The 12777-nt window shown below is 41.1% G+C and overlaps 1 protein-coding gene across 19 annotated transcripts in view; it reads right to left on the reverse strand.

Annotated features, from left to right (window-relative positions):
• The window catches only part of TRPM3 (transient receptor potential cation channel subfamily M member 3), a 917912-nt gene that overhangs the window by 104276 nt on the left and 800859 nt on the right, over positions 1-12777 (reverse strand). For all 19 annotated transcript variants that reach the window (NM_001366143.2, NM_001366141.2, NM_001366142.2 and 16 more), the window contains 3 exons: positions 7225-7325; positions 5725-5859; positions 1876-1926 (listed from right to left, as the gene is read on the reverse strand). In NM_001366143.2, the coding sequence (NP_001353072.1) occupies positions 1876-1926; positions 5725-5859; positions 7225-7325 (287 nt within the window). The remainder of the gene's footprint in view (positions 1-1875; positions 1927-5724; positions 5860-7224; positions 7326-12777) is intronic.

Here is a 12777-nt window from a genome sequence, read left to right on the forward strand (position 1 = left end):
ATGAATTAGACAAAACCGGAAGGTTCAAAGGAAAGAGAAATGGGTTTGTTGAGGGTAGATCTACTACGATGGCATGGAATGGGTAGACCAGTGAAAGACACAATCTCAGGAAAGTGGTTGTTGAGTTGGGAGTACAGATTGCATAGTGTTTTCCCCTCTTGTTTTGAAAAAACTACAGGCTTCACCCACTCAAGTAGATGAAAAATCCTTCATTAAGGTGGTATAGAGATGGGAGGAAAGTTTGCAAGGGCCAAAGGATGGAGATTTTGATTTTCTGTGTGTTATTTTTATATCCTTTACTCATTCTTAGCAAAGATCCAGCAGGTGAATAGGTACATTATAAGTAGCCCCAAGGCCTTTGCTTGGCCTTTCAAAGGAAAAATAAAAAAGTAGTTACAGGATGCCTAAGGGCAATTCTAGCCAATCACTTCCTGTGAGATGAAGAAATCATACTGTATTTTTGACTTCACTTTGTAGGTTTCTCTGAATATGTCCTGTGGACTTTGGTGAAGAATTGTTACCAAGTGGCGATAGTGGGCAAATGTGTGCATACATGTATGGGCACATAGGTAAGGGGCGGGGGCAGTGCCATCTTCTGTTTTATTTTTTGGAATTAAAACATCACTTTCTGGGATGGATTTAAGGGTTCAGAACTCAAGCTACCTCTGAAGGAGATAATATGGGGCAAAAGAACAACCACTTGGCTAAGATTAAACAGAATCTCCCTATACTTCATTCTTCTTGTCTTTAAGTGGGAATAAAACTGTATTATAATAATAAAATAATAATTTTTTGATGGAATCTCACTCTGTTGTTCAGGCTGGAGTGCAGTGGCACGATCTTGGCTCACTGCAGCCTCCACCTCCCGGGTTCAAGTGATTCTCCTGCCTCAGCCTCCCAAGTAGCTGAGCTTACAGGCACACACCACCATGCCAAGCTAATTTTTGTATTTTTAGTAGAGACAGGGTTTCACCATGTTAACCAGACCAGGCTGGCCTTGAACTCGACCTTAGGTGATCCACCCACCTTGGGCCTCCAAAGTGCTGGGATTACAGGCATGAGTCTCTGTGCCTAGCCTATAATAATAAAATAATAATTCTATTTCATAGAATTGTTGTGAAGATTAAATGAATTAAGATGCACTGAAAGTATGCAGCAATGCTGTGCACCTAGTCATCACTAGCTCATGACTATTATTATTTTATCATTATTAATAAAATGAACTGAACTTTAAACCTAGCTCTTCACTAAATGCCAATATAGCTCTCATCTCCTTGTAGTTCGGCTTCCTCATCTGTAAAATGAAAATAATTCTACCCGATCCATACCTACCAACATTTTTTTCCCATCTAATGAGATGAAAAGTGTGAAAAAATATTCTGGAAAAAATAGAATGTTAGAAGAATGGAATGCATATTTATGTTTTAGTCCCTGTTTTTAGAAAATTTGGAGCTATGCTTACTACACTCTATGTAATGCTAGATGTGACATTGTATCAGGAGCTGGTGAATGAAGATTTACTCTTGTGGTCAGTCAGGCAGCTCCCCAAACAGTGAGGGGCATATGGAAAAATACAGGTATGGCATAAATCCACTTGGCACGGGGAAAGCCAAGAGTTCCGCTACCCAAAAGCATTATGTCCACCAAAAGCATCTAAAAGCACGGCGATTGGAGATAACACCACAGCTGCATCATGAACAGAAGCATCAGAGTTAAAAGACACATACACACACACACACACACACACTGTTCTGAAATGAGTGGCGCCTGATAGGGACAGGAATACTCTGGCAGCTCATGCAAAACAGAGGCACTCTCTAATCACAGGAAGCAGTCAAGACAGGGCCTCCGACCTGCAGTCGAGAGGGTTCTTACCTTTTTGACATCCCTGACCAAGTGGTACAATGTATTTGAGGGCCCATGTCTCTGAAAACAATAAAGAAGAATCAAACAGTTTTGCTAGTCAGGGGCTCTGGTTGGCAAGACAAGAAGGATCTAGAAGGAAGGGTGCTGGCTGGTGGAGGGCAGTTCATTAAGATGGACCTTGTTCTAGTTGCTCAGTGTATCTGCCTTTTCTTTCTTTCTTTTAAATTGTCCCCATTTGCAGATGAAAAGCTTTGTCAGTGATTTTTTTTTTTTTTTTTTTTTGATACAGGGTCTTCTGTTACCCAGGCTGGAGTGCAACGGCATAATCACAGCTCACTGCAGCCTCGAACTCTTGGGCTCACCTTAGCCTCCTGAGTAGCTGGGACTACAGGTACACAACACCATGCCTGGCTAATGCTTTTGATAAAATTTTTTTTTTTTTAAAGATGGGGGTCTCACTATGTTGCCCAGGCTGGTCTTGAATTCCTGGCCTCAAGCAATCCTCCCACCTCAGCCTCCCAAAGTGCTGGGATTATAGGCATAAGCTACCATACTGGCCATACCTGTTTCTTCTAAACAAACACGTTGGCAGATTTTTGAATTGTATTTCCTCAAGCAAATGTATTTGAGATTCTAGGTTCAAACTTTGTAAGGGAGGTTGTCAACTCTGTTGACAGCTAGGCCAAAATATGATGGAAGAAGCCAGTTTTGCAGCCGGGGGCTGGGATGAGGGTGGGAGAACAAAAGGACCCATTGACCGCACTGGAAATACACTTGGGCATTCTGCCATCACAACTTGTTTATTACCCATCATGAATGAGAAATTGTCCAAGAAAAGGGTTGGCCAACTTTTTCTGTAAAAGGCCTGAGAGTAAATTAGACTTTGTGGGTCACACGGTCTTTACTGAAACTGTTCAACTCTGCTGTTGTAATGTGCAAGTAGCCATAGATCATATGTAACAAATGAGCTTGGTTATGATTCAATGAAATTTTAATTATGGGCACAGAAAGTCAAATTTCATATTATTTTAATGTGTCATAGAATATAGCATTTTTCTTTTGATTGTTTCAACCATTAAAAATGTAAAAAAAAAAAAAAAATCTTAGCTTGCAGCCCATACAGAAACAGGCAGCAGGCTGGATTTCGATGACAGTTTGCTGTAACTTGATTTAAAGAAAAAGCCACAGACTGTTTGGGAAAAAGAGAGTTTTGTAAAAAAGACGGATGTTTGTTTGAGGTAAATATAAAGTGAAATAAGTTGCCATTCTATTGTCTTTCAGGAATAGGAATGTCAGATAAAATCCAAGATGCCTAATTAAATTTGAATTTCAGATAAACAATGTACAATTTTAATCTAAGTATGTCCCATGCAATCTTTGGGATATAACAAAATTGTCTGTTGTTAATCTGAAATTCACATTTAACTGGGCATCCTGTATTTTATTTGCTAAATCTGGTGAGATGATTAGATAATCTAAAATAGTGATGGCTTTTTTTTTTTTTTTTAGTTAGTCTCGCTCTGTCACCTGGGCTGGAGTGCGGTGGTGTGATCTCAGCTCACTGCAACCTCCACCTCCAGGGTTCAAGATATTCTCCTGTCTCAGCCTCTGGAGTAGCTGGGATTACAGATGTGCACCACCATGCCCAGCTAAATTTTGTATTTTTAGTAGAGACGGAGTTTCATCATGTTGGCCAGGCTGGTCTCAAACTCCTGACCTCAAGTGATCCATCCGCCTTGGCCTCCCAAAGTGCTGGGAGGCCACTGCGCCCAACCAATGGCAAATTCTTAAGCACTGTTGCAACCATTCAAGTATTGAGACAGGTCTATGAAATGCGGCAACGACCTGCCCATTCATGTGGACGTGCCCATCAGAGCTCTTTTTCCACTGAGGGGATGCTGGATTGTGCAGTGATTTAGCCTACAGACTCTGGAGTCAGAGTGCCTGGCTCTACACCTCTGCTGCTTACTGGCTCTGAACGTGGGCAAGCAACTTAACTGTGACTCAGTTTTATCATCTTTAAAATGGGAATGACAGTATCACTTTATCTGATGGGGTTGTTGTGAGGATTAAATGATATAATGTTTATAAAGCTATTAAAAATGGTGCTTAATGCCAATTAGTGTTAGCTATTATTATTACTGAGGCTATTTACTGTTCCATAATCCTCAACAAAGTATTCCGGGAAGCCACCACCAGCAGACTGAAGTGATCAAACTTACTGGCCTTCCTCAGTCTAGAATTTTCCTACCCACCCCCACTCCCCAGTCTTTGGAATAAATTACTCCCTTGATTCTCTAATTGATAGACCATTCAATGCTTGTCTTTATTTATTTATTTTTTTTAATTGAAAACCCATTATTCTTCCTGAAAGTCTCAGTATGCTGAACCAAGAAAAGTCTCTGGAGAAAACAGAGACTAGGAGACATTCTGCTAACCCGTTTCTATTTTTTGCAGATGGTGCCAGCGTGGCACCATCTAACAACTACTACTGGCTGGGGACAGGAAATAAGCTCCATCCTGCTTGCCCTCTGCGTGATGGGACAGAGGCATTGTGAAAAATGAGGGGTAGAATAATCTTAGAGACAGAAGCTTGGGTTCGGTACTTACTGGCTTTCTTAGGAGTTTTGTGACCTTGAATTCACCTTGGCCTCTGCTATGGTTTGAATGTTTGTGTCCTCTCCAGAATTCATGTTGAAAGTTAATTTCCAATGTACTAGTATTAAGAAGTGGGGCCTTTAACGTGTATACCTGTGTAATGAACCTGCACGTTCTGCAAATGTATCCCAGAACTTAAAGTATAATAATAATCACAATAATAATAATAGAAAAGAAGTGGGACCTTTGGGAGGTGATTAGGTCCTGAGGGTTCCTCCTTTGTGAGGGGGATTAAGGCCATTATAAGAGAAGCTTCACACAACATTCAGGCCTTTTGCCCTCTGTCTCTTCTGCCTTGTGAGGACACAGCATTTGTCCCTTCTGGAGAATGGCAAAACAAGGTGCCATTTTGGAAGCAAAAAGCAACCTTCGCCAGACACTGAACTTGCCAGAGCCTTGATTTTAGACTCTCCAGCCTCCAGAACCCAGAGAAATAAATTTCTGTTGTTTATAAATTACTGAGTCTAAGGCATCTTATTATCATAGTACAAATGGACTAAGACAGCCTCAGTTTCCTCATTTGGTAAATGGGGAAAAATTTCTGCTCTTTAAACTTCACTGGATTTTAGTATGAGCTCAGAGCCAATGCACTTAACTCATGTGAATGCTCTCAATAACTTCATAAACAGTAGTTTTACCTATGATTACTCCTTGGTATCCCTAGTGAGTAAATTAACAAATCATTACTAAGCTAAAAAACAAAACAAAACAAAACCAAAATTTTTGAGTGACTCAAAAAAGAGATATTTTACCTTTTCTTCCACTTTATAGCTGAACTATGAAGAATGAACTTCATAGCTCTGAGGATAAAAAATGGCGCAGGTTACTTAATCAGCCTTTTGTGATGCTTAGAGTTAAACCAACCCTCCTTTGCTAATTGCCTCTAACACCCTCTGGGCTTACAGAACAAACTGTGTTCTCATTTCCAGAGCCTTGTGGCTTTGTATAAGAATATGAGAATGATACACTTAGGTTATTACATAACTTTTTGCCTTACATGCTGACAACTGAGCAATTAAAACAAGCGGAATCTTGGTGACTTGGTGTTTGTCATCTATGTAGGTCTAAGGGAGTATTTGTGATGAATGAACCATGCATTTGGACGGGAGAAGGGAAGAGAATCACAGGCATATGGGGGGCAGGAGAAGGTAAAACAAACAGAAAAAAAAGAAAATAAAAAGTGCCTTAGTTTGGCCCTACCGTATTGTACAATTCCTCTAGTCTGGAGATGGTGAGAAAACGGTGCATGCTTACTCCATTCTCTATGAGTAATTTCACAAAATCCACTCTGTCCAGAACTAAGGCATCCAACATGGCTTGCTCCAGAGATCCCACCTGCAAACCAAGTCACTGAGTTAGTCTGCCCCAGGGTCTATCTATGGATGCAGTTCTTTAGTGTTCACTTGAACAGCTTAGAAATGGATGCCTTTGACATCTGGTAAACCTTCAGCACATCTAAGAACATGCTAGCAAGACTGTTCACAGATTCACTTTTGGGACAGCCACACCTCTCCCATGTTTGGGTGCCTGTCTTTGCAAATAGAAGTCAAGCATTTCTAGTTCCAAAAACTATTTCTTCCCTGAATCTCTTGTTCTGGATCCCAAGAAGGTGCAAGGGTTCACAAGGTTTTTCCCCTTGCAATTATCTGATTAAATTTCTCAACACCAGCGAAGTGTCAAAGGGGGCACTTTTGCTGTCTTCATTTTTGTTATCCTTAGGCTCTGAGGGAGACCCCAGGCCAACTTGAGAAGAGGGACCCAAGTCAACAGACCAAAGGCCCTAAATCAATGCTGGGTCTCTGTAGAAGCAAGACCACAAAGATGTCACTTAACTGAAAACAAAACAAAAACATAACAAAACAGAACAACCAGCCTACTTTCTGGATTTGCCAATAGCTTAGATTTTTATTTAATCCATTTCACAAAAATGTTGCAGGGTCTAGACTCTGACAAATCTTTCCATGTTAGCAATCCACCAGCACTGAATGAAGACAGGGGCTCCATCCCAGGCAGAAACTCTCTAGGGGAAAGGAAGGAGTAAGATAAGGCTTGCCGGTGAGTGCTGTGATTCCAGGCACAGAAACCGAGTTTCAGGCTGCTGGGCTGCCTCCTGTGGATGCATACATATCCCACCTGATGGCCAATCTCTCAAATTTTTATTTTTGGTAGAGTCAATTGAGGGAAGCAAACCAAGAACAGTTATATAAAGCATTGGTTTCCTCATGTTGTTCTTTGCAAATAGGGAGGACCTGTGCTCAGTCACCAGGACCAGATGGCGCCTGCAGAGGGAAGCCTGCTAATTCTGCATCCTGAGGTGTGACCCTTCCCTTTGCCCCATCAAAGACAATCAGAAGCAAATTAATAATTCTACCCCTTCCTTAATTTTAGTTAATACAGATTTGTCTTATATTTTTTCAGATGTATTCAAATAAATGGCATCATTTGCAGCTGAAAATTGCTATTAAAGACAACTCATAGAGATGGAAATATTTGGAGTTGTGTTCAGTTGAAATTTCCACTAGATGGCGGTGCTTTCCTAAATATGAGAAAGGGAGCTCAGGATACAGACTTTGCTACCAAGGAACACATTCCATCTTAAAGAAAAAGCAATCGTTTTCTGAGCTGACCTCAGAGGCTCCTTAAACAAATACCCTTGGCCAACCAAAGTGGGCTTTTCATGGGAGACGATATATACTCTACCGGCCACTGTTGCCCGTAAATAAAGATCTGGCTGCGAGCGATGTCGACTCTGTTCCAGGCTAAAGCTAAGCTCAGTTGGTCTGGGGCCGAGGCATTGGCTCCTGTGTGAGGACAAGTGGGAGAAAAGAGTGGAAGAGAGAAAACGACGATCAGTTATTACACCAAGAGCGCCTGCTCCATCCCTCTGCCATTAATGCCCCTATTCCCAAAGAGCCTGCTTGGCTATACAGCAGGTTTCTCAAACTTGGTATTATTAACATTTTGGGTAACTCTTTGTCACAGGGCTCTCCTGTATATTGTAGATTATTATTATTATTACATTTTTAAAAACTTTTTAAAAAGAAGGTCTTTGAAACTCCATGCTTTTTTGATATATAATAATTGTACATGTTTATGGTATGCATGTGATATTTTGATGCATGCATACAAGTTCATTGTAGATTATTAATAGCACGCCTTGACTGAACCCAGTAGATGTCAATAGCATTTTCCCACCCCCATCCTTCCAGACATGATGCTCAAAAATGTCTCCAGACATTGCCAAATGCCCCCATGTGTGAAGGGAGGCAAAACTGGCCTGGTGAGCAGCATTGCTCTACCGTCTGGCTAGGCAAAGTGTGGTTCACAGAGCAGCTGCAGCAGTGCCACCCTGGTGCTTCTTTGAAATGCAAGTCTCAGACCCTGTCCCCGACCCACTAAACCAGAATCCGTATTTTCACAAGATCCCAGATGACTTGTGCACACACTCAAGTTTGAGAAACTCTGCTCTACCACACATTTTGCTTCTGCTGGCCAATCACTGGTTTCAAGGCATCACTTGAATAGTATTTTGCATGGGGAGGGTGCTCTCATCAACTAGCGTACCAACTTGCCACTTTTCTGAAAAAGAGTTAGGAAGGTCTTTTAACAGAGAGGCAAACCAGCGGCTTAGGTTTACTTTGATTTGTGGGTAGAAACCATTGGAACTATTTCCCAGGTTCTTATTTTTCTCCAGATTCTGTCTCTAGAGCTGTGCGGTTCACAGGTGGCTAAGTTTAAATTAATCAAAATTAAATAAAATTAAAGTTATAATTCCTCAGTCAGGCTAGCCACATTTTAAGAACTTAATAGTTCCATGTGGCTAGTGACTACTGAACTGGAAAGCACAGATACAGAACATTTCTATCATCACAGTAAGTGCTATTGGCCCAGAGCTCATCTAGGTGAATGCATCCTGTCCATAGAGGCAGCCTGCCAAGCAGCTGGAGGGGAAGCTGGAAATGGAGGCAGTGCAGTAACGAAAGCAACATTAGGCTCCAGGCAGGGGGCCCAAGTGAGAGTCCCTGTGGCTCCTCTCAGCCACTGTTGATTATTTGTGAAATGGAGGCAATAAATATCCAGTTTACATGGCTGGGGTGTGAGACTGAAATGAGATTGTATAAGTGATTTCTGTTTAAACAGGTTTTTCACAGTTCACCAACACCCTTAGTGCACTGAGGAAGAGACACCCCTAAATAATTGCCAAGCTTCATGCTGCTGGATATCTCACGATCGGGGAGGAGGATAAAGAGACAACCTTCCTCAGCTCAGAGTTTTTAAACATCAAACATGTGCTGGGCAAAGTATTAGGCACTTCCATATGTCATATGTAACATCCCAGTTAATCTGGGGACTGGGTCTTATTGTCTCCTGTCTCATTGAAACATATGAGACTACTGAGATCCAGGGAGGTGGAACAGCCAAAGATAAAACAGCTACTAACAGGGTAAATGGAAGAAGTATTCAGCAAACTAGAGGTGAGAGTCAGATCCAGAGAATTCCTCTTCATCATTGCTGCTTCTGATGTTTAGGAAAGAAATATAGCAAATGTGTATGCTGTTCATTCCTCTGGGTTCGCCAGCAGTCAAGGCCAGAAACAATGAGGAGGTGGGGCAGGGTTCCTGGTCGTTAACTTACATCAGTGATTCCAAAACTTTGCTGCACATTAGAATCACCTGGGGAGCTTCGCTCAGGGTGCATCCCATACCAATTAAATCATGTTGCTTGGGATGGGATCCAGGCGCGGATATTTTTAAAGCTCTCCATGTGCTTCCAATGTGCAGCCAATGTCCAGAGGCTGGGAATTACTGCGCTGTGTGCCTCCTTTCCTGCTTACCCTCGCCTCTTCCCTCTGGGCTCTGAGATACTGACGTTATAAATTAGGCAAAAAATGTTTGCTAAGTGAACACTTCTCAAATTTTAGCATGCATAAGTACAATTCGGAGAACTTTTTAAGACACAGGTTCTTGGGTCCCAGCTGCAGACCTTGTGATTCAGTAGCTCTTGGGTGGAGCCTAAGGTTCTGTGTTTCTAACCAGCTCCCAGGTGAGGCCGCTGCTGCTGATCTGGGGCCATGATTTGAGTAACAAGGCCCTCAAGAGCTGTGGTGCTCTGTTCCCTTCGTAGGTTGAAGAGCATTTCTGATTCTGGTGTCCACACATTGATGGGCTTATTATCGACCACATACTTGGAGTAAATTTATTAGTGTTTACAATGATGAATATCATTTCAGCTCTCACGTGGAATTTTCCATTAAAAATTATCTCCTCAGGTAACAACAGGGACTGCACACTCATACCAGGGTAACTGGCATACACAAGTGATAAGTAGAAATGTGTCAAAATGTTCTGTCATCAATTTGGAGAGGAAAAGAAGTGAAGGCTCATTGCGATTGCATTTGGAAAGGTAGCACTTTACATGTTTCTTTGCTTCTTTAGCTGGTCTACTGGTTGGTGCTGACTTGCTGGAATAGTTTAATCATTCCCTTTGCCATTTGTATGTTGCAAATTAGTATGTCACCCAAGTCAATAATAGCAGCACGAGCCTGAACAGGAACACATAGCAGGAAGCAGTTATTGAGGTCAAGGTGAGCTACAGGCCTGAATGTAATTAGGCAAGTGTCAAATGAAAGCATGAAACCAATGAGTCTTGACTTTCAAAAATTGAAAATACATCACTCAAGAATGGCCGTGGGTGACAGTTTGGATCAGTGGTTCTCGGCTAAGGTGACCAGCCATCCAGGCTTGCCCAGTGTAGTCACAGTGTTAGCATTTAAATTCCTGCACTCTGGGAGATGTGTCAATCCTGAATAAACCTAGTGGCTGGTCACCCTATTCTCGACTATGGCTGTGCACTTGGAATTGCCTAAAGAGCTTTAAAATATACTCATGCCTGGGGCACAGCCCCACAGATTCTAGTTTAATTGGTCCTGGGCATTGCGGTTTTTAAAAGTTCCCCAATGATTCTAATGTGAGGATAAAATTAAGAACTTCTAGTGTAGATAGCATATGTTCATTCATTCACTCATTCATCTGTTCATTTACTTATGCGTTCAAAGATACTGATTTCATGCCTCCTTATATGGGAGGCAGTATGCCAGCATGAGGACCGAGACATATAAAGCAGAATACTTTGTCTTGAGAGCTTACAGTCTAGAGGAGAAGAGAAGTCTGTAATTAAATACATTATTTCATGCAGTAATTCATTTATCTCATCAACAGATATTTATTGAATACTCTCTCTGCTGGGAACTGATTTGTCATTGAACGTCCAATGACAAACAAGGTAGCTAAGGTCAACCTCTTCACAGAGCTTACATCCTACTGGTGGTGGGGAAGTACTCGGAAGTAAGCAAATAAACTCATGAACAGCATACTTTCAGATTGTAGAAGTGCTGTGAAGGAGCAGTGCCACTCCTAGGGTATGTGGGACCTATGCTTATACAAACACATCAATGTAGCAGAACCATTCTGGCTACCCGACCTTGCATGTCCCCACAATAGAAGTATTTTGCTAATTGGCTGGAGCAATCTGCTGGCCCGGCTGCCCTCCTGAAATGAGGGCTGAATATGGAGTCATTGGACAACCAACGACAAAAACCACATGATTATCTCAATAGATGCAGAAAAGGCCTTCAATAAAATTCAACACCCCTTCATGCTAAAAACTCTCAATAAACTAGGTATTGATGGAATGTATCTCAAAATAATAAAAACCATTTATGACAAACCCACAGCCAATATCATACTGAATGGGCAAAAGCTGGAAGTATTCCCTTTGAAAACTGGCACAAGACAAGTATGCCCTCTCTCACCACTCCTATTCAACATAGTACTGGAAGTTCTGGCCAGGGAAATCAGGCAAGAGAAAGAAATAAGGGGTATTCAAACAGGAAGAGAGGAAGTCAAATTGTTTCTGTTTGCAGATGACATGATTTTATATTCAGAAAGCCCCATTGTTTCAGCCTCAAATCTCCTTTAGCTGATAAGAAACTTTGGCAAAGTCTCAGGATACAAAATCAATGTGCAAAAACCACAAGTATTTCTATACCTCAATAATAGACAAACAGAAAGCCAAATCATGAGTGAACTCCCATTCACAATTGCTACAAAGAGAATAAAATACTTAGGAATACAACTTACAAGGGATGTGAAGGACCTGTTCAAGGAGAACTATAAACCACTGCTCAAGGAAATAAGAGAGGACACAGACAAATGGAAAAACATTCCTTGCTCCTGGATAGGAAGAATCAATATTGTGAAAATGGCCATACTGCCCAAAGTAATTTACAGATTCAATGCTATTACCATCAAGCTACCATTGACTTTCTTCACAGAATTAGAAAAAACTATCTTAAGTTTCTTATGGAACCAAAAAAGAGCCTGCATAACCAAGACAATCCTAAGCAAAAATAACAAACCTGGAGGCATCACACTTCCCATCTTCAAGCTATACTACAAGGCTACAGTAACCAAAACAGCATGGCACTGGTACCAAAACAGATATATATATCAATGGAACAGAGCAGAGGCCTCAGAAATAGTGCCACACATCTACAACCATCTGATCTTTGACAAACCTGACAAAAACAAGCAATGGGGAAAGGATTCCCTATTTAATAAATGGTGTTGGAAAAACTGGCTAGCCATATGCAGAAAACTGAAACTGGACCCCTTTGTTACACCTTATACAAAAATTAACTCAAGGTGGATTAAAGACTTAAACATATAACCTAAAACCATAAAAACCCTAGAAGAAAACCTAGGCAATACCATCCAGGACACAGGCATGGGCAAAGACTTCCTGACTAAAACACCAAAAGCAATGGCAACAAAAGCCAAAATTGATAAATGGGATGTAATTAAACTAAAGAGCTTCTTCACAGCAAAAAAAAAAAATAAAAAAAATAAATAAAACTATCATCAGAGTGATCAGGCAACCTACAGAATGGGAGAAAATTTTTGCAATCTGTGCATCTGACAAAGGGCTAATATCCAGAATCTATAAGGAACTTAAACAAATTTACAAGAAAAAAACAACCTGATCAAAAAGTGGGCAAAGGATATGAAGAGACACTTCTCAGAAGAAGACATTTATGCAGCCAACAAACATATGAAAAAAGTTGATCATCACTGGTCATTAGAGAAAGGCAAATCAAAACCACAATGAGATAACAACTCACGCCAGTTAGAATGGCAATCATTAAAAAGTCAGGAAACAACAGATGCTGGAAAGGATGTGGAGAAATAGGAACGC

This window comes from Homo sapiens, chromosome 9, assembly GCF_000001405.40.
Source record: "Homo sapiens chromosome 9, GRCh38.p14 Primary Assembly".
Lineage (NCBI taxonomy): Eukaryota > Metazoa > Chordata > Mammalia > Primates > Hominidae > Homo > Homo sapiens.